We start from the raw sequence: 25,806 nt of genomic DNA, 5'->3' as shown, positions 1-25,806 counted from the left end.
CCATTCACTTTCTCCATCTCTACATCAAATGCCAGCCCCAGACACTGTCTTCTCTCGTCTGGATCATGGCAATACTCCACCACTGATCTCCCTACATCCATTCTCAACCCTCTCTAAGCGGTCCCCCCAAGTGTTGCCAGACCATGTCACTCTCTTGCATGGAGTTCTTTAATGGTATGTTGGACACAAACCCTGTGTGCCTTCTCAGATTCCCTTGACTGTGTCCTTTTTTCTCTATTGGCTGGTCTTCCACCTGCACTTCCACTTCCAGGTTTGGATGAAATGCCACACCGCAGGTACAACCAATGAGAGGCTGGGTGATGCACCCTGGAAGGACATGGGAGTTAGCTTCTGTAGAATTAAACATGAACAATGGGCAATGCAAGATGGGAGAATACCAGGCAGATAAATTATTCCTTCCTTTCTACCTGCTAAGAATTGCTCTGAGATATGATTTTCCACATTAACTTTCTGGAGAAGTCCTGTGTGGTTAACAAACACCTGGTAACCAACCCGCTGTGTTTCCTTGCAGCTGGAGCTCATTGTGGTGCAGTAACCAGAGTGATAACACAGCATTGCCTTGCTCCACATCTTTCCTCACTTTACCTCCCTTTTCCTCACCCTCACTGTCCTGGCTTTTGCCTTCCAAGAAAGTGTCACCACTTTGGTCTTTAACTCAGATTTTACTTCTTAGAGGTCCCAGGCAAGACAAATGCTTAGGATAAAGACCATAATATCTATCCAAGCTTTACAGGAACTGATTCCTGTGTACTTCGTTAGCTTCTCTCGTCTCTTACTTACCACTTTCCTGTCTATCTCCAACTACAATAGAGAGTTCTTTTTTCATGCCAAGTCCTCACACGCCTTCCTCTCCACCATCTCCTGGCTTCATCTGGCTAACTCTTTTCCCACCTGATCTCAGTTTCCACATTACTTCCTTCACTTCCTTTGGGAACCTTTCCAGCCCTCTCCCTGCTTTCTCCTCTCCAAGTCTCCTAAGTTAGGACTGTCAGTGCTCTAAGTCATTATTCCAATAGTGCTGGACCCTCCCGCACTGACGGTAAATTCCATGTGAGCAGGGACAGTGTCTGCTTTTGCTCTCCCTGACATCAACAGCACCCAGCAAAGGAGTTTAAAACTCAACAAATGTATCTGAGTTAATGAACCCATGGGGTTCAACCTTATTGTCTTACAGACGGAGAAGCTAAGATCAAAGAGATTAAGAGATTCATTCAAGATCAGACAGTTAGCTAGTGAGTGGTAGAACTCAGTTTTACCTTCTACTTTTTAAATTAAGAATCATTCTTCTCAATTCTGAAAACGACAGATAACAGACAGATCAATGAAACAGAATGGAGAATCCAGAAATAGACTTAAATACCTGCTTCAACATATGAAAAGTGCTCAGCTTCATTCATTTATAATAAAAGAAATGCAAATCAAAAATAGGAAGTGACTTTTTTTTATCTTTCTGACTGGCAAAATTCACAAAATTTGATAATTGCCTCTCTTGATGAGGACACTCAACAGTAAAGTTCCAAATACATAAAAGTAAATTTATGAGTGTTTACGGAGTGTGTAAATTGTTTTCCCTCACGGAGGACAGTCTGGCAATAGCTATTTGATTGCAACAAGTACCAAATCACAAGGGCACATGCTCTCTGCAATTCAACCCAGCAGTTCAACTTTTAGGTACTTATCCTGTAGATGTATTTGCCCAGGTGGGAAGTAGCGAATGTACAAAGTTATTCATTGCGGCGTTATTTGTAACAGCAAAAGATTTAATGTGCATTATTTAAGGACTTAAGTAAATTATGTTATTTTCATACAATGAAATATTATGTAGCTGTTTAAAAAGGCTAATAAGGCAGTTCTATTCTTTTGAATTCCACATTTCTGTAAATGGAATTTTCCATACTCCTATATATGGAATATTTTATACTCTTGTCGTAGGAATATCCCATAGTCCCATGTATTCCATATTTCTATAATAATATGAAACCCTTTCCAAGAGGCATTAGGTGAAAAAAAGCAAGGTACACAGTAGTTATATAATATGCCACAATTTGGGTTAAAAAATGAACAAAAACTCCAAATAAAATCAATTGAATTGTAAACTAAATTCAGTGAGGGCAGTGCCTTTATATAGTTTGTGTTTCTTACATTGCACAGCAAATGCTTCAATTACTGTTAATTAAATGTCTCTATTAATATTTGTTGATTAATTTCAATAAGAAGAAATGTCCTAAGTGATAAGGGAAGTGAGACAAAGGAAAAATACACAAGTAGTCATTGTGTATACTTGTTAGTCATTTGGGTAAAATATTATCAAAGAAGAAAATGTAATCTGACAGTCAGTATGATGGTTTAGGTCATCTGCAGATTTTTTGTTATGCACCATGAATCAGTTAGCCATTCCCATGAGAACTGAAGAGCTCTGCACTCTTGGTTGTATGAACTCCTTTCTACCTCAACTAGAAAGGAACAGATACGCTATAAAGCTTTCCCTGCCAAAAGCTTATTGAGATCAGGTCTCTGTTATTGGTATGTCCTCACTACTGGATTAACCTGATTTCTCACTCATATGCCACATCAGGCAAACCAAATGAAAAGATGCTTATGTATTGGCAGAGAGCTTTGCTCACACTAAAGAAACAGGTATAATTTGATTAAAGCCAGGGTTTTATATTGCTGTCTGTGTGTTCTTTTGGAAGACGTATGACTATATAGCTTAGACCTGGGAAGTAATAACTGTGAAATCTATCTGTTGCCAAAGTAAATATCTGCGTGTTTTCCTGTCAAAATGCTCAGTGTTTGAGCTTGCTGTGCCTCAGTGGGGACGTTACTGCTACAGAGGCACTTATGTTATTTCTTTTCTGGATTTGAAGGCTTTTTTTCTGAATAGTATTTGAGTGTGTCAATACAAAGGTATTTCCTAGTATGACAAAAGCTCAACGATATTTATAATATCAGGAAGCTGTTGTTTTCTTATCCCGAAATCAGTATATTAAAGGCAGAAAGAGTCACTGAAAGCAGGCAATGTACTCTTTACAGAACTAGTCTTGATCCTTTGGCTTCATCTTAGATAGATAGATAGATAGATAGATAGATAGATAGATAGATAGATAGGGTGTTGCTTCAATGTATAGAATAAAGACTACATTTCTTAGCCTCTCTTGCAGCTAGATGTGGTTGTGCATTGGTAGGTAAGTGGTATTGTATGGGTCTTTCAAGGATTAAAGGAAGCTGAATTGCCAAGATGACCCCCCACCCTCTTTTTTATCCATTGGGGCTTGATAGCCTGTATTAGAATGCTGGAGTGATACTGAGATGAATAAGACATGGTCCCTATCCTTGAGACATTTACAATTAAATCATACATATAGAGGTATAGAACTGCCAGAATGCAGAAGATAAAGGAATTAATCCTGAGTAGAGGAAACTCAGAAAGTTCCATTACACATATTATGTAAGCTGGCCTTTAAAGAATGAGTTTAATTCTTTAATTCCAGATTTTATTGAGGACTTACCGTGTTCCAAGAAGGATGTGAAATGCTTTGCAGGTGTTATCTCATTTATTCTATATGGTAATCCTGTGAAGTAGGTAATATTGTTATCCCTTTTTACAGATGAAGGAACTGAGGGGCAGAGAGGTTTAATGACTCGCCTGGATTAGAGAGCTAGTAAGTGGCTGACCTCCCTGAAGTTGAAGCTCATCCACAGGGATCTGCTGCCTATGACTGAAATAGAGAGATGGGGAAAAAAAAAAGCATAAGCCACCTGTTTTGATCATGCAGTCCAGTAGTGGTCAGTGCAGGCAATTCAATCCAAACTGGTTGTTAGGTAGAATGCAGTCATTCCTAGAGTTAGTTAGCATATTTGGCAGAATATCAGTCTTTAAAAAAAGTTTTCTTTTAATCAAAGAGAAAATTAAAAGATTTACACACACAGTTACATATACATAAAAAGGCATACGGTAAAAAAAAAAAAAAAATGCCTAAATTAATTTTATTAAAACCAGGGTTTCTCAAAGCTTATTTGACCACAGAACTCTTTTCTATTTTGTATTATGAAAATTGAGTATAAATAAAACTGGGGAATATAAGAGCATTTTGGACTCATCACCGAGTTTCACCAGCCATCACTAACCATTACTATTCTGTCCTATTTGTTTTATCTATAGTCACTTCTTTTTCCTGAAGTATCTTCAATGAAGTTTCAGACAGCATATGTTATTGTACAGAGTATGCATCTAACAATGGGGCGATCTTCTTACATAAGGTGTCCTTATCACATCCGTCAAGATTGAAATAGTTCCTTAATATAATCTAATACTCAGTTGATATTCAAAGTCCCTGATTTAAAAAGTCAGAGCTTTTTTTTTTCAGTAAAAACCTTTGGAACTATTTGCTGATTCTACTGATTCAATTTTACTACCAAGAGCTGGCACCAACCAATCACGTATTAGAAAAACTTGCAATCATTGGTAGTTATTTTCTAGGTCACTGTTAAAGAGCTAAAGCTCTGCTATCATTTGAATATGTCCCCCAAAGTTCTTGAGTGTTGCAATCTTGATCCCCAATGCAGTGGTGTTGGGAGGTGGGGCCTAGTGGAAGATGTTTGGGTCATGGGGACATTGCCCTTATGAATGGATTAATTTTGTTATCTCAGGAGTGGATTCCTTATACAAGGATGAGTTCCCCACCCTCCTTTGCCCTTCTGCCATGGGATGACATAGCAAGAAGGCCCTCATAAGACACTGGCCCCTCTATCTTGGACTTCCCAGCCCCCAGAACGGTGAGCCAATGAATTTCTGTTCATTATGAATTATCTAGTATGTGGTATTCTGTTCAAGCAGCACAAAACAGACCAAGACAATCCCTCCTAATAATTCAGCTTGAAAAATAAAGGACTAAGTATGTACAATCCTTCAACCTCAAGATTCCCTGTGGCTAGTGAAGAGACTAATAACTGGATTGTATAATCTTTTTTGTTTTCATTTGAATTTCCAAACAGAAACAAAGTAGAATCCTTTTAGCATCCCAAGAATATGTATGCCGAGGAACACATTTTTGGAAGCTTTGATTCAGACAAAATAACCAGTTGAAAGAAAGCTTCACATGGCCATTTTGGTATTTGAAAGCTATATTTGGTATTTGAACTCTGAATATATAGGTTTTTCTTTTTCAAAGTCATCACATTCTAAAAGGAAGAAATCTGTAATCAGTCCTGGTTGTGATTCCTAGTACATGTGTAAATTTACTGCACACACAAACACACAATACTGCAAATCTTAAAACAGACAGAGAAGCATGGTTGTAAATTTAAAATCAGGATAAAACCATCTGAGGCAAGTGACTAGGTTATTCAAGATCTATTTGAAGGAGATTAATCTAAAAGAGATACTTGCAGTATGGATTTGCAATGTGACAAAGTAATAAACCATACAGCACAGCAGCAATTTGGTTTCCCAGTCTATGAGAGCAGCTGAAATAAACACCTCATACCAGTTCATTGCCAACAGTATTTTCTAAATTAAAGAAAAGATTAAATTATTTCATTAACTGATGCTTCAATGACTAGCTAAATATTTATATACTCCACAAGCACTGTACTCAAAATTTACAGTAGCAAAGCAGCCTGCAGAAACCAAAATATTGATTGAGTCATTAAAACTCAAGGTTATTAACCCAAATAACTTCTTGCTTTGTATAAAACGAATTGTGAGGCCAGGGAATGCATTTTCTGAGACAATTACCAGGAATGGGGGCTCTAATGACTTTACTGTTTTGCATAAATAAATAGTAGTTGCCTAATCTAGGATTCCAGATGAGTTTTGTTCCACACCCCGGTGTTAATCAAAAGCATTTCTTACTATGAGCACAGGTGATTGTTAACCTGAAGTTAGACTTGTGCACATTCCAAATGTGAAATTTGTGTTCCTGAAGCAGTACACATCCTCAGGCAAACATCAGTATCTGATGTCCGCCGTAAAGTTGCAGGAAGGAAAACAAACATAAGTGTAAGCTAGCAAAGAATGAAATGTATCTCTATTGAAAAAGCCCTATATAGTCACCAGCTGGTTTGACACTGCGAGCAGAAATTCTACTCAGCTTCAGGGTAAGCCAGGGAAGGTATTGGGGGTAGGGATTTGTACTTCCATGGTATGCTTCCTGTGAGGAGCCAGGCAAACCTTTCCCTATATAACTCAGGACATAGCCAGGAGGGGCCTAGTTAATTGCTGCAGGACAGGATGGACAAGAAAGAGTTAGGGCCTCAAGGCCAACTTTCTATCTGGAGTGGGGAGACTCCAGGGAGACAAAGCCAGCTGAAGGGACAGCGAAGCTAGAGCCTGACAATCTGAAGGGTGTGGTGGCAGGCAAACTCTGGTAGTGCCAGCAGTCTGCATAAGGCAGCTCCACACAGAGTAGTGGAAGTGTCCCAACAGACAGAGCGTGGGGCTCAATAATCCTGGAGGTGGTGATATTCAGGAATCCAGGAAGATATTTGTAGGTCAGCAGGATACCAGGACCCAGGCACAGGCTGTAGGGGGGATTTATGGGTAGGTGGAGACCTAGATTATCAGAACAAGACAGAAGCGCAGTGGTTTAGCTACAGCATAAACTAGCTGCTGTGACAAAAAGATCCGATATGACAGGGCTTAACTAATACAGGTGTTTTTTTTTTTTTTGAGAGTCTCATTCTGTCACCCAGGCTGGAGTGCAGTGGCACTATCTCGGCTCACTGCAACCTCTGCCTCCAGGGTTCAAGTGATTCTCCTGCCTCAGCCTCCTGCGTAGCTGGGATTACAGGCATGCTCTACCACGCTCGGCTAATTTTTGTATTTTTTAGTAGAGACGGGGTTTTGCCATGTTGGCCAGGCTAGTCTTGAACTCCTGACCTCAGTTGATCCGCCCACCTCGGCCTCCCAAAGTGCTGGGATTACAGGCATGAGCCACCGCGCCCAGCCAAATAATATAGAATGTTATTCCTCTCTCATGCAACACTACAAAACAGGAAGGACGTCCTCAGCTCCATGAAGTTCTCCAGGGACCCTGGAACTCCTCCCCTGCCTTACAGCTTCCATCCTTGTGTCTAAGATTGTTGCTCCGGTTGTCCTCTTCTTGGTCACAGCTGGCTACCAGCACCATATTGGAGTTCCAACCTGTAGGAAAGAGAATATGGAGGGCAAGAAACTTAATGCTATGGACTGAATGTCTTCCACCCAATGCCCATTCTTATGTTGAAATCTTAATCCCTAAGGTGATAGTATTAGGAAGCGTGGCCTTTGAGAGGTGATTAGGTCACAGGGTAGAACCGTCGTGCATGGGATTAATACCCTTATAAAAGAGGCCAGAGAGAAACCCTTTGCCCCTTCCACCATGTGAGGACAAATGAGACACAGAATCTGCTGGTGCCTTGATCTTGGACTTCCCAGCTTCTAGAACCACACACACACACAAATTCTGTTGTTAAGGCTACCATTCAACTTAGGAATCCTATTACTGAGGAAATATACTCCAAGGAAAATAAATTGTTCTACCAAAAGGGCACACGTACTTGTATGTTCATTGTAGCTACTATTCACACCGTATCTCTGTTGCAAAAGCCCTATATAGTCACTGGCTGGCTTGACACCGCAAGCAGAAACTCTGTGGTCACACTGCCTTCTCTTCTGTCTGTGTAATGCCCCTCCACTTTTATCTTATAAGGACATGTGTGATTGCATTTTTAGGGCCCATCTAAATATCCAGGATAATCTCCCCATCTTGAGATTCTTAACCACATCTACAGGCTACTATTCACAATAGCAAAGACATGAAACCAATCTAGGTACCCATCTATGGTGGACTGGATCAAAAACATGTGGTACATATACACCATGGAATACTACCCAGCCATAAAAAAAGAACAAAATCATGTCCTGTGCAGCAACATGGATGCAGCTGGAGGCCATTATCCTAAGCAAATTAACACAGGAACAGAAAACCAAATATCACATGTTCTCATTTATAAGAGGGAGCTAAACACTGGGTACATATTGAAATAAAGATGGGAATAATGGACAGTGCAAATTCCTGGAGGAGGGAGGGGCGTGGGCTAAAAAACTACCTATTGGGTTCTATGCTCACTACTTGGGTGACAGAATCTACCCCACATCTCAGCATCACGTGATATACCCATGTAACAAACCCGCACAGGTACCCCTCGAATCTAGAATAAAAGTTGAAAAAAAATTAAATTAAAAATGTGTGTTGTTTACAAGCCACCCAGTTTATGGTGCGGTGTGTTATCACAGCAGTCTCAACTCACAAAGACATGATTTTGAAACTCGGGAAGCCGAAGTTACATCACTTCTAGTCATTGGCCATGCCTAGTCACAGGGCTACTCTCAGTTATAAGGGAAGCTGGGAAATGTAGTCTCTACCTATATGGTCATGTGTCCAGCTAAAATCCAAGGATAAGGGTTGTATTAGTTTCCCATGGCTGCTATAATGAATTACTAAAAACTTGGTGACTTAAAAGAACAAAAAAATTTATCCTCTGACAGTTCTGGAGGTCTGGAGGCCAGAAGTCCAAAATCTGTGTCAGCCAAAACCCAAAGTGTTATGAGGGTTGTAGTCCTTAACAGAAGCTCCAGGGGAGAATCCCTTCCTTGTCTCTTTCAAATTCTGGGTGCTGCTGGCATTCTTTAGTTTGTGGCCACATCACTCCAGTCCTTGCCTCTGTGGTCACACTGCCTTCTCCTCTTCTGTCTGTGTAATGACCCTCCACTTTAGTCTTATAAGGACATGTGTGAATGCATTTTTAGGGCCCATCTAAATATCCAGGATAATCTCCCCATCTTGAGATTTTTAACCACATCTGCAAAAATCTTTTCTCCAAATGAGATAACATGACAGGTTCCAGGGATTTGGACGTGATATTCTGGGGGGTTGTTATTTAGCCTACTGTGGGTACTCAATTACCAAGAGGAAGAAGGAGAGAATGGCCACTGCAGTACCCAGCAATCAACATCGGGAAACTCCCGTCGTTGCAGTGAGCCTCACCCAAAGCTGAGTACCAAAGACAGTCTCCTGCTCTTCAGGTTCTCCCAGTTGGGTTCTAGATTGGTATGGAGCCTGGGGGCAGGGATATGTCCTGGCTGGCACACACGACCCTGCCATGGAATGGAGGGCCCCTATGCAGAGGAAGCAAGCAGCCAGGTAGTCGGTGCCTGGTAAACTGCATCATCCACAGTGAGAAAGCTCCATGAGTGTTACCTGAGGACACATGAGGTTCTCAGACCAATAAGTACATACTGAGGCCTTGGCAAGTTTCTGTGAGCAGGTCACAGTCCCTTGAGACAGAAAGGGTGCCTTTCACCCCCACATCTTTTACCATCCTCACCCTCATTCCCCCAAAACACCAGTCTAGATGCTTGTTAGTGGAACAAAGAAATCCCCTTTCACTCACTTCCCCAATTCCACTCCCCAGAATTAACCACTGTGAAGTTTGATCCTTCCTGATTATCCTCTTTATAAATACACACAGACAGAGGAAAATATAGAGGTGCCTGTTTGCATAAATGGAGTTATGCCATACATGTATATTTTATTTGTTCACTTAATAATATATCATAGATGTTGTTGCTTGTCAATGATAATACCAAATTTCATGCTCAGTTGTGCCAGGCAATATACCAAGCTCTGTAATTTTTTTTATTTCATGTCACCTCTCAACCATCTCATTAGGCAGGTGCTATTATAGTCACCTCTTAAAGTTGACAAAACAGTCACAGAGAGCTTAAGTGACTTGCCCAAGGTCAATCAGTTGATAAGTTGCAGAGCTAGGATTTGAACCCAGATTGGTCCTTCCAATCCAGGTAGGACTTCAATTTTTGCTAGCTCCTTTTGCTGTTGATTATGTTTCTGCCACAGACATTCCTTTTTTTTTTTTTTTTTTTTTTTTTGAGACGGAGTCTTGTTCTGTCACCCAGGCTGGAGTGCAGTGGCGCGATCTCGGCTCACTGCAAGCTCCGCCTCCCAGGTTCATGCTATTTTCCTGCCTCAGCCTCCTGAGTAGAGTAGCTGGGACTACAGGCGCCCGCCACCGCGCCCGGCTAATTTTTTTGTATTTTTAGTAGAGACAGGGTTTCACTGTGTTAGCCAGGATGGACGCAATCTCCTGACCTGGTGATCTGCCCGCCTCAGCCTCCCAAAGTGCTGGGATTACAGGCATGAGCCACCGCGCCCAGCCTCTGCCATAGACATTCTTGTAAGCCCTTGTCATACAGCCCCTCCACTGGGGACTGCATCAGCTACTGCACCAGGTAAGCTCAACGTTTGCATCACCACCTCTTAGACTTCCCCAGAAGCTGCTGTGGTCTCCCTGGCTACTGGACTGCTGACTGTCCTGTAGAACACTTGGCCCCAGCTGCCCTGGCTGGCTTGTGCTGGGAAGGATCCTTCAATTCCATTCCAGAGGTTGTACCTGCCCTAGTCCCAACTCCTTTCCTAATCTTCTCTCAGCCTCCACACTTGTGCTCCGAAGCCCTAAAGGGTTTGACCAAACATCTGTAGCCCCTGCTCAGATAACTTGACCGTGCCTGGCATTTCTGCTTGAAAAGCTAGTCATGAACGGTGGCTTTAGACCCTCCCCTGGGGCTCTGAGTGGGCACTGCTCCCCTCTGCTGCTGTAGCAAATAGAAGGTTTTTGTGATGGTCAGGGGCATGTGTCAACCTTTTGTCTTGGGTCTCCCCTTTGGCCTAGAGCAGGTAGCAAGGGCCTAGTGAGAACTCTGCTCCTTTTCTGGGGCTGTAACCATGGAAACAGATGCCATCAAGGGGATGCAACCTCCTTTCTGCCTGCCCTCACTCCGCAGGTGCTCACCTTCTAGGTGGTGCTCTCCCTCCTATTTGCCCCCTTGCCTCCATCCCTCCCTCCCATCAAAAACTTCTCTTGTGCACATGCAGGTCAAGTGGCTATAATGTGAGACCCTGAGCCCATAGTCTCGAGTCGCCCTCAGGAAGAACAAGGACTTGGATATGAGGGTGGATGACCCCCTCATCAATGTCAGACATAGATGCTGGCAGTTGCTCCTGTGGTAGACAGGAGTTCTCTTCAGATAATTTGGAGCTGGGGGTCTGACCCTGGACCTTCAGAGGCTAAAGGCTGTCCTTGGGGCAGGACCAAATGAATGCTCTGAGGTGCCAGGATAAAGGCCTCAGCTGCCCATCTCTCCTTGGTGCAGCTGCTCCTGGTGAGCCCTGCTCGTGCGCCACGCCCTCCCCAAAGCTGGTCTCCCTGGTCAGTCCAGTTGCAGTCTTCGCCCTCTGGCCTAGTTGCAACAGGAGTTTCCGCAGGCCCCAGCAGGCCGAGGGAGGAAAGTGCAAAGAAAAACAAAGGGGTTTCCACACACTGGCCACAAACACACAGCACAGTCTCAGGAGGCAGCCCAGGCAGAGGTTCAGGTGGTTCTCTGTGAGCCTGTGAACTCTTAGACCTGCTTGCCCTGCCAGCCTTGACCCTGCTGCTCCAGCTGCACAGTGCCCCATGTCCCTTTGCTCTGCCCACGCTGTAGCCTCCCTCTCTTGGTGGTGATGCCATGAGCGGCAGGCGGCAGGGTGAGTGCCTCCAGGCCCTTGGTTTCGGGAGAGTGGGGGCACCTACCCCACTGGCCTCCCTGCTTCAACTGCTCACCCCTCAGGGCCTCTCAGAGCAGGGAAAGGCCACTCCACCTGGCCGCAGGCCCTGCCTGGACCTCTGCTCCTCCCACAGGCCAGCAGATCCCCTGTAGCTCCCTATACCCCGGCAGCCTGTGTGTGCTGGGCTTAAATACTCGTTTCCACACCTAAGTAACCCAAAGTCTGGGGCAGGATTGCCAAGAGTTGCTGGGGCTGATGTTTTCTGAGTTCTGTCCACCTCTGGGTCCTGTGGCTCCTGCCTCTTTCCACACACTTGGGAAAAGCTCAGACCTTCACCTACTAACAGGCCTCTCCCCCAAGCATTTCGTGAGTGTAGTCAACTTTTCTGAAAGTGGAAGTTCCACTGGGAAGGGCCCATGTTGAAGCCTACTGCCTTTTGTCATCTGACTAGTTCTCCTCATTTGCCTTCCTTTCCCCCTTCCCCTAAGACCAGAACGAATCTCTCTACTTGTAGGTAAGCCATTTAGTGTCCACTTTTGGTAGCAGAAACAAGCTGTTGGGGTCACCCTCCATCCCAGTGGTTTATCAAAGTATCCCTCCCAAACACACACCAAGCTCTCCCTAAGCATTGTGGTGAATAACAATGTCTGCATTACATTTCCCCTCCCAGCCCTGGACTTAGAGATGGGGGAAGCAAGGAAGATCCTGCTCCCTCTGCCCAGGACTGTAGGCTTCCCGTGACAGTCCCCCTGAGCAGTGGTTCTCCAAGTAGGACCCTGGGACCAGCAGCTTGGCATCACCGGGGAACTTGTGAGAGGTGCAGATTCTCAGACTCCACACCAGACCCACTGAATCTGGATCTCTGTGGTGGGACCCCACAATATGTTTGAACAAGCCCTCCAGGTGGGTCTCATGCACACTCCAATTTGAGAAACATTATCTTAGGACTCCTGATCCTCTTGCTCTCCTAGGAGGAAACAGGTCCACTTCCCTCCCATCACAATGAGACTGAGGTTTCTCCCATGTAGTTGTGTTTTGTCACTTTCGATTAGGTGCTGTGGTCCACCTTGCTAGCCCATGCCCTCTGTCTTGGGCCATAAATCAAACTTTTTCATCATCTCTCATGAGAAGCTGGTTATCCACCAAAGCTCAGTAGGAAAGAAGCTTAGAATATTGGCCCTCCCAGGGAGTACTGTTGTGTTAAGAGGACAAGAAAACTAAACGTGTAACCTCACGCTTTGGGTAGAGGAAGGACTTAGGGGAGGCAACATGATTTCCTCACACTTTGGAAGCCACCTCATTGGGAGGATTCCCTTATTACTAGGAAGGGGGACAGGATCCATGATGCTTCATGCTGAAGTCAGACTTCCATTAACCATAACCTTCTGGAACACAGGGCTGGAGTGGGAAGCAGAGGCCGATCACATAGGGCCTTAAAAGCCATTTCTAGAAGCTGGACTTGGGGAGAGCCATGGTAGGCTTTCAGGCATAGAAAAGATATGCTCAGATTTGAATGTGGGAGATGGCTCTTCCTTGCAAAGAATGGATTGGAAAGGGGTTGGGTGAGGTCAGAGACAGTGAATGCTTGGAAACCAATTTGAGGAACAGGTGAGAGGAATTCAACAGTAGCTAGATTTAGGGCATTGGCAGTGGTAATGGGGAGAAGGAAACAGACTCTAGAGATGTTTAATGTGGTGGGAGAAGGAGAAAGAACACCCATATATGACACTTATGATGTGCTAGGCACAATCACAAGCACTGGACATTGAAAACTTACAATGACAACCTTGTGAGGTCTGTACTATTTTTTAAAATTATTATTTTAAAGACAATAAAGACAAGGTCTTGCTACGTTGGCCAGGCTGGTCTCGAACTCCTGGGTTCAAGCGATCCTCCCACCTCAGCTTCCCAAAGTGCTGGGGATTACAGGCATGAGCCACTGCACCAGGCCCAGTCTGAACTATTATAATCCTCATTCTACAGATGAGGAAACTGAGATGCAGAGGAGCTAAATAACATGCCCAAATAATTTCTGATTGAGTGAAGGTAAGAGAGAGAGGGAAGACAGTCAAGAAGGGCGCTTTGGTTTCCTACATCAGTACTGGGTGGATACAGTACTATTTCTTGAGATCGGGAATTGGGGAGGAGAAACAGGATTTTCAGATAGGGAGATAATGAGTTCTCCCTTGGACTTGCTGGGTTCTGGAGGTAGAAATATCCAGTCATAAATCCTTACTGTTCTCTTTTAAAGAAGCCAGCATAATGCAATTTAAACATTTTTATCAGAGATTGTTATGATGAAAAAATATTCAGTTGTTCTGAGGTGGGTGAGCTTCAGTGATGTAGAGTTACCAGTGTAGATTATTTTTAGGGCTCTGGGGCTTGGCTGAGCTTTGGGATTTTTATCCCTGAATCATGAAAGATAAAGCCATTGTCTTTTCATGAGTAACCACCACCTCAGAGTATTTAATTGTCTTGTTTTGCATGTAAAGCCACTTCTTTGGAAAAAGGATTCTTCACCCAAGAGATCAGAATGAATCAAGTAAATACGTATTTAGACAGTTTCTAAAAATCTGTAGTTTAACCCAAGAGACCAGAAAGGTTCCTGTCTCCTGGTAAACAACAATTAAATGGTATATTAAAATGTATATTATGTATCTGATTGGTCCACAGGGTAATTAGGCATTTTAGGAATATTTTTAAGCATGTGTTCTATATCTCTCAGCACTGTTTCAATCCATCAAGTAACTGAATACTTAGAACATGTGTTCCGCATAGTAAGAGTCATTTTATAAATTCCCATTAAAGGGAACTAAACTAAAAGGCATCAGCTGCAGCCCATTTTTCAGAAGTGTTTATGCTGACCAAATGTAGACAAAGGAAAACAAAATTATAGAGATAAATTGTCCACCATGGAGTCTCACTCCCTGGCTTGGTAATAGCTGAGGGGTGACCCTAGACTGTGAGGAGCAAACTTTGGGGGTTTCTTGGGCACCTTCTGTAGTTAGGCTACAAGATGTGTTGTGGTGGAGGGGAAGGGTGTTATAGCATAGGTGCAGGTTATAGCCCCAAGGGAAAAGTTCACACTTCCCTGAAGAGAATGAAAAGCAGGTGTTCTCTTGGCTGGTTGGCCACTGGAAAGGAATGAGCCAAGGTCCAGTTCTCTCTGATGTGTTGTGTTGGCCAAGAAGTTGGAGCAGAGGTGAGAGGTGAGTTGGGTACTCATGGGGGCCATAACAAAAGGAGGTGCAGGGGCCGGGCGCAGCGGCTTATGCCTGTAATCCCAGCACTTTGGAAGGCTGAGGTGGGTGGATCACTTGAGGTCAGGAGTTTGAGACCAGCCTGGCCAACATGGCGAAACCCCGTCTCTACTAAAAATACAAAAAATTAGCTGGGTGTGGTGGCACGCGCCTGTAATCCCAGCTACTTAGAAGGCTGAGGCAGGAGAATTGCTTGAACCTGGAAGGTGGAGGTTGCAGTGAGCTGAAATTGCACCACTGCACTACACAGCCTGAGCAACAAAGCAAGACTCCATCTCAAAAAAAAAAAAAAAAAAGAAAAGAAAAATGGAGGGGCAGGACCTTCCTAACAAAACTCAGAGGGCATGTAGCTATGGCCCTGAGGCCAAGGGGTTCTCCTGGCTCCCTGTGTGTGCTAACAACACCTGCTAAGGCCTACGAGCTCTCTTAGCCTCAAATTGTTCTGAAGGAGGCAGCAACATACAAGGCACTCTATTTTCCCTAATATGTCAGCCTATCCTTTGTATTCATAAAGTGCTGTTTGCATATTAACTCTTTCAGGCTGTAAGGAAACAAGGATTCACTGAGCATGCCATTTTCCTAGTCTGAGAGTCTCTCTGAGGCCTTGGCCATTAAGTAGAAGGAACTAAAGCTTCTTCTAGGCCAGGCACGGTGGCTCAAACCTGTAATCCCAGCACTTTGGGAGGCAGAGGCTGGCGGATCACCTGAGGTTAGGAGTTCGAGACCAGCCTGGCCAACATGGTGAAACCCTGCCTCTCCTAAAAATAAAATGAGCCAGGCATGGTGGCTTGCGCCTGTAATCCCAGCTACTCAGGAGGCTGAGGCAGGAGAATTACCTGAACCCTTGAGGCGGAGGTTGCAGTGAGCCGAGATCATGCCACTGCATGCCAGCCTGGGCAACAGAGCGAGACTCCGTCTCAAAAACAAACAAACAAAAAAAAGCTTCTTCTAAACTAAATGGACTTGGTGGAAAAGGGAGGTTTGCAGCATTCTGAGCCAGAGTGGTAGCCACTGTATCTTAAAGGTCAGAAGAGCCACACAGGAGAGAAAAGGAGCTTAAGAACTTCAGATCTCACTCGGAAGAACTGTGGAGTAGGCAAGTGAAAAAATAAAGTGATTCACCAAAGATTAAGTACAGCAGGCAAACATGAGAGAGAAGAAAAGGAAAGTCAGCAAACAGGAAAGTGATTAATAGAGAGGAGCTGAGAGGAAGTAATAATTGGATGAGAATTTTTGAAAAAGGGAGGAAAGGGCCGGGCATGGTGGCTCACGCCTGTAATCTCAGCACTTTGGGAGGCCGAGGCAGATGGATCACCTGAGGTCGGGAGTTCGAGACCAGCCTGACCAACATGGAGAAACCCCTTCTCTATTAAAGATACAAAATTAGCCGCGCATGGTGGTGCATGCCTGTAATCCCAGCTACTCAGAAGGCTGAGGCAGGAGAATCGCTTGAATCCGAGAGGCGGAGGTTGCAGTGAGCCAAGATCACGCCATTGCACTCCAGCCTGGGAAACAAGAGAGAAACTCCATCTCAAAAGAAAAAAAAAAGAAAAAGAAAAAGGGAGGAAAGGAAAAGTAAAACTTTCAGAGGAAAAGGCAACCAATGTCAAAGTATGGGTTTCGTGGGATTAATCAATGATTTCCTCACTGCAGAGAATTTTTCCTCCATATATAAAGAGGAGAATTCACTCTCCTAGAAAAGATGGCAGCACCCCTCTTGTTTTATCTGTGGCATTAGGACAGCTCACAGCACTGGCTCCTATCTGGAAACTGGAGAATTCTTTTGATGTTATTTTTGGACGCAGTCCTAATCAGTTTTAAAGTATGACACAGAAGCATTCTTCCAATGTTTAATGTCTAAAGTCATTGATGCTGCTGGATGAGGAAGGAAATAAACTGCGTAAAATACCTGAGTGGGTCTTGGCACGGTCTTGTGGCCTTAAGAAATGACTGTGACCTCAGAATCTATATCAGATAAGGCTGCCAAGAGAGCTTTAGAATGGGTCACATATTTATTACCAGCAATGCTGAGGCTGCACTGGATGAGGGCTGCCCAACTTCATTCTCAAATCGTCATCATTCAGTGAACACATCCTGTGTATAAGCATTGCCATGGATACTTTGCATTTACCGTGCCCTGATTTTGACAACCACCTTGCAAGGTAGGGTCATATCTGTTTCATTTCACAAAGGGGGAAATCTGGCATGACTGTGGCCTCAGGAGTGCCTTTACACTTCAGTGCTGCCTGCATAGCCACCTAGGAGTGGTATCCTTGCTGAAATGTTTTGTTGCTATTTTTTCACAAGTAAATCAAAGAAGCCACTTGCTGAACTGTTTTATGTGCTCATTCTTTACAGGACACCAGCTTGTCTTCAATCCAGACTCTATTTCTCTCACGGTCAGTAAGTCGTGGGTTAATAGGAGAAAAAAAAGAGCCCTGAAAGGTTAGGTCCAGGACTCTGGACAGACAGTTCAATCACCAACATCCACTTGGTCATCTGCAACATGTCTGACATCTGCTAGGTGTGTTTTAAGGGATATGAGGGAATTTGTATGACAAAGGGGCTTATGGCTTTATTCAGAAAAGAGTCAGTCAGTCAACTGAAAAATCAGTCAGTTGATCAACAGCTGTTTATTGAGCATTTGTTCAACTATGTGCTGGTTAAGGCCTGTTCTAGGCTCTGAGATACAGCCATGAACAAAACAGACAAAAATCTCTGCCCTCAGGGAGTTTATAGTCTCATAGGACAGAGAGAAAAATCACTAAAATATACAGCATGTTAGTGATAGGGTAAAGAGAAATGTAAAGACAGAAAAGAGAATAAGAATGGAAGGTGTCCACATGTAAATTGTGATGTAGTAACATATTTGCTTCTTTACTAAAACATCAATTAACATGATCTAATGGTGGGTCTAATAACTACAATCTTTGAAATCCCCTCCTTTTACTTCTCTGACACCACTCACTACTGGTTCTCCTAAGTAATAGACATTCTTTTTTCACCTCTGAGAGACTTTAAGCTCTCTTTATGAGGTTATTCTGAACTACGCTGGTGATCCCCTACCACTCTTCATCCATTTGAAAAATATAAAGACCTTTTACTTGATACAGGGCCACATACAGAGCTTCTCTAACTGGAGTCTCCATGTAACTCCAGAGGCTGTTTTGCTGGGTGCTAAGAGTTGAGGAGGGAAGTCAAACTTAGGAGGTCTTAGAAGCCTTCCCAGTTTACCCTCTCTACTACAAGTCTTCCCTCCTGTGTTATCGCTCAAGTTGCAATAATAAAATTCTGTAGACTGGGTGGCTTACACAACATTCTAGAGGTTGCAAGTCTGAGATCAGGGCGCCAGCATGGCCAGTTTTGGGTGAGGACTGTTTCAGGCTGGTAGGCATGCACACACATGACCCTTTCTTTGTGCCTGCTTGGAGAGAGACAGAGAGACAGAGAGACAGAGATAGAGAGCTCTGGTCTCATCTTATAAAGGCACATATCCCATCCTTAGGGCTCCACGGTCATGGTCTAATTACCTTCCAAAGGTATCATCTCCAAATACCTTCACATTGGGAGTTAAGGCTTCAATATATGAATTTTGGGAGGATGTAAACATTCAATCCATAACATCTCCCAAACACACCATTCTATATCTCAGCCCCTTGTTGGCTTTCTTCATAACACACTGTTACTTGTCCTTGTTTTCTCAGTTTACTTGGTTTGTGTCCATCTCCCCAGCTAGGATAACAGCTCAATGAGGACAGACACAGTTTCTCTTATTGTGATGTCTTCATCTCCCAGGACACAACATGTGGCATATGATAGAGGCTCAGTAACACTTACTTAATGGATTTAAAGATGAATGAATGAATGAATGATTTCCCATAGTCCTCACTCGCATCATAGGTTAAGGAACTTACCAGGTCTGGGCTTTTGTCCCCATGTCTGTTCTCACGGCGGAATGTAGATCTGCTGCAATGTCGGCCTAACACTGGCCACAGTCTCGCCATTTCCATTTTCCCTTGCTCCTCATCATCCATCTTAATGCTATTGCTCTTGGTTTCACATGGTTTTAGTCCACACCATATGATAACTCACATTTGTTTAAATCCAGTGTCTTTTGTGTGCTCATGACACATTTCCAAATTCCTGAAAATTTGGTTGTGCACTGGAAGAGACTGAAAGATTCAAAACAGGACTAAATAAGTGAGAAGTAATTACAAAGCAACATCTCACATTAACTATAAAAGTGTCTACAGTTTTCTCGGGGGTATCACCAGCTTATTTCCCTGGCCATACATTTACATGCATCTACCCATATTCTAGTATTAGGTGTAACTCCTTTAGTATTTAATGTATTGGCAGCAAGCTGTACACAGCTCTACACCCGGTGGCACTACCCCCTGGCTAACGTCATTGTAGTGACTGTATGTTACTGTGCAGTAAAAACACATTTCACAGATTATGCTAAATTTGTTTGCCCACCTGTTTAGGATTTGCAGGCCACCACTTGCACACCGCTGTACTAGCCTATTGACTGTCTGTCTTCCCATGCTCAATGTGAACCAAACAGGAGAGCCACGGTTGACATACATGGGTGCTGTTTCCTCTATTGAATTTGTATCTGTATATAAAGTGAGGGTATGTAATTCTCTGTAGATGCAGCCAGGGTTTTGGCTTCTTCTATTGAGTATTTTTCTTTTTACAAATTGAAGGTTTGTGGCAACCTTATCTTCAGCAAGTCTATCAGTGCCATTTTCCCAACAGGGTGTGCTCCCTTTGTGTCTTTGTGTCACATACTGGCAATTCTCACAGTATTTCAAATGTTTTGTAGTTACTCTATTTGTTATAGTGATCTACCCCACTGACCAGACATTCCCCTGTCTCTCTCTCTCTCTCTCTCTCTTTCTCCTGCCTTGGGTCTCCCTATTCTCTGAGACACAACAATATTAAAATCAGGCCAATTAGTAACCCTGCAATGGCCTCAAAGTGTTCAAGCGAAAGAAAGAGTCACATATCTCTCCCTTTAAATAAAAAGCTAAAAATGAATAAACTTAGTGAGGAAGGCACATCAAAAGCCAAAATACACTGAAAGCAAGGCTTCTTTTGCCAAGCTGTGAATTCAAAAGAAAAGTTCTTGAAGAAATTAGAAGTGCTACTCAACTGAAAACACAAATGATAAGAAAGTGGAACAGACTTATTACTGACATGGAGAACGTTTGAGTGGTCTGGATAGAAGATCAAACCAGCCACAACATTCCCTTAAGCCAAAGCCTAATCCAGAGCAAAGCCCTAACTCTTTTCAATTCTATGAAGGCTAACAGAGGTGAGAAAGCTGCTAAAGAAAAGTTTGAAGCTAGCAGAGATTGTTTCGTGAAATTTAAGGAAAGAAGTCATCTGCATAATATAAAAGTGCAAGGTGAAGCAGCAAGTGCTGATGGAGAAGCTGCAGTGAGTTATCCAGATCCAGCTCAGGCCTTGATAAAAATGTCTACATTAATCAATAGATTTTCCATGTAGACAAAACAGCCTTCTATTGGAAGAAGATGCCATCTGGGGCTTTCATGTCTAGAGAAAAGCCAATGCCTGTCTTCAAAGCTTCAAAGGACAAGCTGACTCTTGCTAGGGGCTAATGCAGCTGATGACTTTAAGTCAGAGCAAATGCTCATTTATCATTCTGAAAATCCTAGGGCCCTTAAGAATGATGCTAAATCTACTCTGCCTATGCTCTATAAATGGAAAAACAAAGCCTGAAGGACAGCACATCTGTTTACAGCATGGTTGACTGAATATTTTAAGCCCACTGTTGAGACCTACTGTTCAGAGAGAAAAAAAAAAAAGATTTCTGCTCATTTATGATGTACCTGGTCACTCAAGAGCTCCAATGGAGATGTACAAGAAGATTAATGTTGTTTTCATGCTCACTAAAACAACATCCATCTTCAGCCCATGGAGCAAGGAGTAATTTTGACTTTCAAGTCTTTCTTTTTTTTTTTTTTTTCCAGACGAAGTCTCACCCTGTTACCCAGGCTGGAGTGCAGTGGTGCAATCATGGCTCACTGCAGCATCAACCTCCTAGGCCTAAGCCATCCTCCCACCTCAGCTTCCTGAGTAGCTGGGACCACAGGCATGCGTCACTATGTTGCTCTAAGTTTTAATTTTTTTTGTAGAGACAGGGTCTCCCTGTGTTGCCCAGGATGGTCTCAAATTCCTAGGCTCAAGTAATCCTCCTGCTTCAGCCTCCTAAAGGCTGGGATTATAGTCATGAGCCACCACGCCTGGCCTGACTTTCAAGTCTTAATATTAAAAAAAATACACTTCATAAGGTTATAGCTGTCATAGATAGTGATTCCTCTGATGGATCTGAGCAATGAAAATTGAAAACCTTCTGGAAAGGATTAGCCATTCAAGATGATATTAAGAACATTCATGATACATGGGAGGAGCCCAAAATATCAACATTAACAGGAGTTTCAAAGAAGATGATTTCAATCTTCATGGCTGACTTCGAGAAGTTCAAGACTTCAGTGGAGGAAGTAACTGCAGAGGTGATGTAAATAGCAAGAGAACTGGAATTAGAAGTGGAGCCTGAAGGTGTGACTGAATTGCCAAAATCTCATGATAAAACTTGAATGAATGCTTCTTACAGATAAGCAAAGAAAGTGGTTTCTTGAGATAGAATCTACTCCTGGTGAAGATTCTGTGAACATTGTTGAAATGATAACAAAGGATTTAGAATATTACATCAACTTAGTTGATAAAGCAGTGGCAGGGTTTGAGACAATTGGCTGCAATTTTGAAAGAAGTTCTACTGTGGGCAAATGCTCTCAAACAGCATTGCTTGCTATCGAGAAATCTTCCCTGAAAGGGAGAGTCAATCAATGTAGCAAACTCATTGTTGTCTTATTTTAAGAAATTGCCACAATCATCCCAACCTTCAGCAGTCACCACCCTGATCAGTCAGCAGCCATCAATATCAAGTCAGGATCCTCCACCAGCAAAAAAGTTTGTGATTCAATGAAGGTGCAGGTGATCATAGCATTTTTTTAAGCAATAAAGTATTTTTAAATTACGGTATGCACATTGTTTTTTAGACGTATGCTATTGCACTCTTAATAGACCAAGCATAGTGTAAATATAACTTTTATATGCACTGGGAAACCAAAATAAATTAGGATGACTCGCTTTATTGCAGTGGTCTGGAATTAGACCTGCTATATCTCTGAGGTATGCCTGTATTTCTATCTGCAAGGTAGAGCTGGGTATTTCTAGCTGTGTGCGTAGAAAAGGGTGGAAAAAGGGTACTGAGAATGATCCAAAGTGTCCTGGGCAAAAACAGGAACTGTACCAAGGACAGGCACAAATGGTTGACACCCGTGGCCATACACAGTAATCAGAGCAAAAGAAGATTAAAAGCCAAGATCAGCCACGAATCCGGAAGAGCTCCCTGCTCAGGCCCCGCCCACGGGCTGTCTCCTAGAAAACCTGTCCTCCAGTGATCCTCTGTAATGAAGTGGTACCAAAACATAAAGCAAGAAATAGTCAACTGAGCAAGATGCTCTGCGGCCAAGACATGATGGACATCAGAACAGAGTGAGAAGGTCCCTGAGCAGTTCAAGGTGGAGAAGGGCGAGGGGCAAAGTAGAGGTGGAAAGGGTTGTTGTATTATATATAGTTTAGGCTACTGAGAACAGCTGACTGCTGATTAGGAATTCCCAGACTGGAAGGATTATACAAGACTTATTAAGCGGAAAGAAAGCGAAAGTAGTTACAGCTACATGGGCTCCGACTTGTAAGTAAGGATGATGTGGAGAGCTGGGTTTTTGCGCTGCTCCAGATGAGAATCTTGGGAGTCTGAGGCTAGTAAACAGGTGCCACTATATCCTGGGTTTAGCCCACATCACCAATATTTTGTTATTCAAATGTATTAACATTTCAGTAATGGTATATACAATCTCCAGCCTCCTCTGCCTCTTCCCACTTCTAACTTACCTACAGTTTTACATCTTGGGAGGTCATCCACTAAGAAAAGTGGGCCAAGAGTGGGTGAAACCCAAAATAGCTAATTTTTCTACTACACATGTCAACTCTGGTTTAAAGTTTTTTCCCCCCTGGGGAGGAGATTAAAATCACAATAACAGCAAAAATGAGAACTCATAATTTTCTATGGATTTCAATTAACATTATCTATGAAAGTACCATCCCCCACTACCACTAATTACCAAGAATTTACTATAGTAGGATGAGAATATTGAGACACAATTACAGATGTAAGTATAGACACATGTGCATACATTTCAAATTTAATATTGAGAAGAGGTCATTAGAAATAGAAAGGTTTTGGGGGCTCATTTTTAGGATATTTTTAAAAGTGAAATAGAAAGATTTATTGTTATCAGATAACTGAGTTATTTTACCATGGGAAAAATGTAAAATTTTACATATTGAAATCCATAAATGCTCAAGAAGCCTAAATAAAGATTATTTACCAAAAGCTAAAATGTAAGTTATTTTTAATAACACACAGACAGGTGGATCGATTAGAGTAGAAACCAGAAGTGGGAGACTTAGCTAGTTATTTACATTATCTGTTTAAACCAAAAGAGAGATTTCACTCACTCATTACTGATTATGTAGTGTAGACAGTCAATGTAGGTAACTTAGGTCAAAATACCCACATTGTGACCCAGCCTTTCTAAATTATTGTTCTTCATCAAGCCAAAGTTACTAATCTCCTCTTGTGTTATACTGGTCACAGGAAAAAATGAATTCAATTTCAAAACCAGGTCACCACGTCAACAGTTTTGAAATCAATTTTTATAACTTAATGGCTGATTTCCTCACAGTTCGCCAAAACACCAGCTCTTGACCTATTTATTTCTTTCATTTAGATATAATAAAAGACTAGAGATCATCTTTAACCTAGTCTACCCTTTTAAGTGAGTTAAATGAGAGTTTTTTTAACAAACCTTTGATTATTCCGCATGAATACCCACAATTCAGAGACATAGTTCTATTTGAACACCATTCATTAATTTTTTATATAAATCATAGACATTTAGAGTTAAAGGTATCTTAGAAATAAACTAGTCTGTATCAATCAGCATCTTGCAAGTGACAGAAAACGAATTTGATCCAGCTTAGGCAAAAGGGGTGAATCGATTGGAAGGACATCTGAGTGTCCCACTTAACTGCAGGCAAGGCAAGGGTACACGTGGGTCTCAGAAACACTTGATACAAATGCCATCAGAGGGACCTATCTCTTGTCTCTGCTTTTCACTGCATGTTTGCTTCTTAGACTTCACAGGGTGAAAATAGGGCTGCCAAATGGTCCTGAGCCCCACTCTACCTACTTTTACAGACTCACCACCACAGAGGTGCTGATTTTTCTCAGTACCAGTTCAAAACAAAACAAAAAAAATCCCAGGGAAGTCCTCTGATTGGCCCAGCTTGTGTCAGATGCCCACTCATGGACCAATCAACTGTGGCCAGGGGGATGGAGTCATGTAAGAAAATGGTAATCCCAATAGTTGGGGGCTGGAGAGAAACAGTTTCTGGAAGAAGGGAAGGATGATGGGAAGATCCACCCCAACCCCAGAGTTCATCCTAATTCATTTTACAAACGTGGAAATTTAAGCTCAAAGAAGTTAAGTGACTTACTCAAGGGTACAACCTGTACTTAACTCTTCTGGCACTTAGTCCAATGCTTGGTTTACTCACCCACACTGCTGTTCATTCTGTGGAATTTGCATTTCAGGGTCTTCAGCACAGAAAAGGCAGGGGCTAGGGTGGAGTGGTGGGGAGGAATTAGGGTCTTACGCTACACTTAAACTTCTACCCAGGATTTTGTTGGAGTTCCAACCTCATCAGTCTGTTATCTGGTTTTGCTTTATTTTCTTACTGGGGGAATGGACACCCCAAGCGGGACTCTCCCTGTTGCCCTCCTACCCTGTCAGTTCCAGGGGGCTCAGCCTGTTCATGCTGAATAATTATCATAAGAACACCTTACACTGAGAGAGGACTTACAATGTGCCCAAGACGGTCCGTTGTGAGCCTTCCCTCATTTAGCCCTTACAGCAGCCCTATGAGGGAGGTATTAGTGGCATTATTATCTCCATTTTGCAGATAAGAAAACTAAGGCACAGAGAGGTTAATGAACTTGTCTAAGGTCACAGAGTGGGGAAGGGATGGAGGCAGGGTGTGAATGCAGGCAGGCTGGCTCCAGAGTCCTTGTTAAGTACTGCAGTTCTACTGTTCTTTTCTAGTCAAACACCTCCAGCCTGTGGCTGCCTGCACTCAATCCGGTAGGGTCTGGGACTCCTCCAATGTCTGCTGACCTAAGTGTTGGCTCATCTCTGGGGCTGTTGCCAACCTGTCTCTGATCAAGGCTCTTCCCACTACAACTGTACTGCTCCCCACCCTCATCTTTTGCCACTGCTGCCCAAGCTGCAGCGTCTTGCTCGGGGCCTGCCTCATCACTGCTGACAGCTGCTGTTGCCGCGACTGCTCCTGGTAATGGATCTGCTCTCTTGCTGCTGGAAGGAGCCAACTCTCCTGCTCTGTGCAGATAAAGGCTTTGCTCCCCAAACTTGATAGCACAGCTTAGGACAGTTTAGGGTCCTCTCAGAAATCCTTGCTCTTTCAGGTTTACAGATTCTCCTTAAAAGGACCTGAATCAAGTTCCAAAGGAACAAAGGTGATTGTCATAGTGCTCTCTTTGCAGAATTGTAGACCTCTGTAAACACAGACCTGGGTCCCTAAGTGATAAATAAGAGAGAGCTACTGCAACTGTCCCTCACTAGATGATGAGTTTTCAGGTCCTCGTGGTTGGGAATGGCCTTTATCTCCTCCTTGTTCAGAGGGGTTCATATTACAGGCTTTGGAGCTAGACAGCGGTTTGAGTCCTGGTCTACTACTCATTAGCC

At 43.1% G+C, this 25,806-nt stretch overlaps 1 long non-coding RNA gene across 2 annotated transcripts, besides 1 other annotated feature; it reads right to left on the bottom strand.

Annotated features, from left to right (window-relative positions):
• Positions 1–1,399: 1,399 nt before the first annotated feature.
• Positions 1,400–19,059, bottom strand: LOC105374776 (uncharacterized). Of its 2 annotated transcripts, none has more exons than XR_002959393.2 (3): positions 18,802–19,059; positions 6,920–7,165; positions 1,400–3,740 (listed from the first exon to the last, which is right to left on the bottom strand). It is a non-coding gene; the product is annotated as an uncharacterized LOC105374776 (long non-coding RNA). The 2 variants fall into 2 exon arrangements; XR_001739503.2 differs by lacking the exon at positions 18,802–19,059 and adding an exon at positions 7,340–7,373.
• Positions 11,064–11,607: an enhancer, noted in NCBI's record as "H3K27ac-H3K4me1 hESC enhancer chr2:65011799-65012342 (GRCh37/hg19 assembly coordinates)". NCBI's record gives its function as "activates a minimal SCP1, AML or CMV promoter by ChIP-STARR-seq in primed H9 embryonic stem cells {active_cell/tissue: H9 hESC(primed)}" and the evidence as "EXISTENCE:reporter gene assay evidence [ECO:0000049][PMID:30033119]".
• Positions 19,060–25,806: the final 6,747 nt, after the last annotated feature.

This window comes from Homo sapiens, chromosome 2 (assembly GCF_000001405.40).
Source record: "Homo sapiens chromosome 2, GRCh38.p14 Primary Assembly".
Taxonomy (NCBI): Eukaryota; Metazoa; Chordata; class Mammalia; order Primates; family Hominidae; genus Homo; species Homo sapiens.
This window is presented reverse-complemented; position numbering and strand designations above follow the sequence as displayed.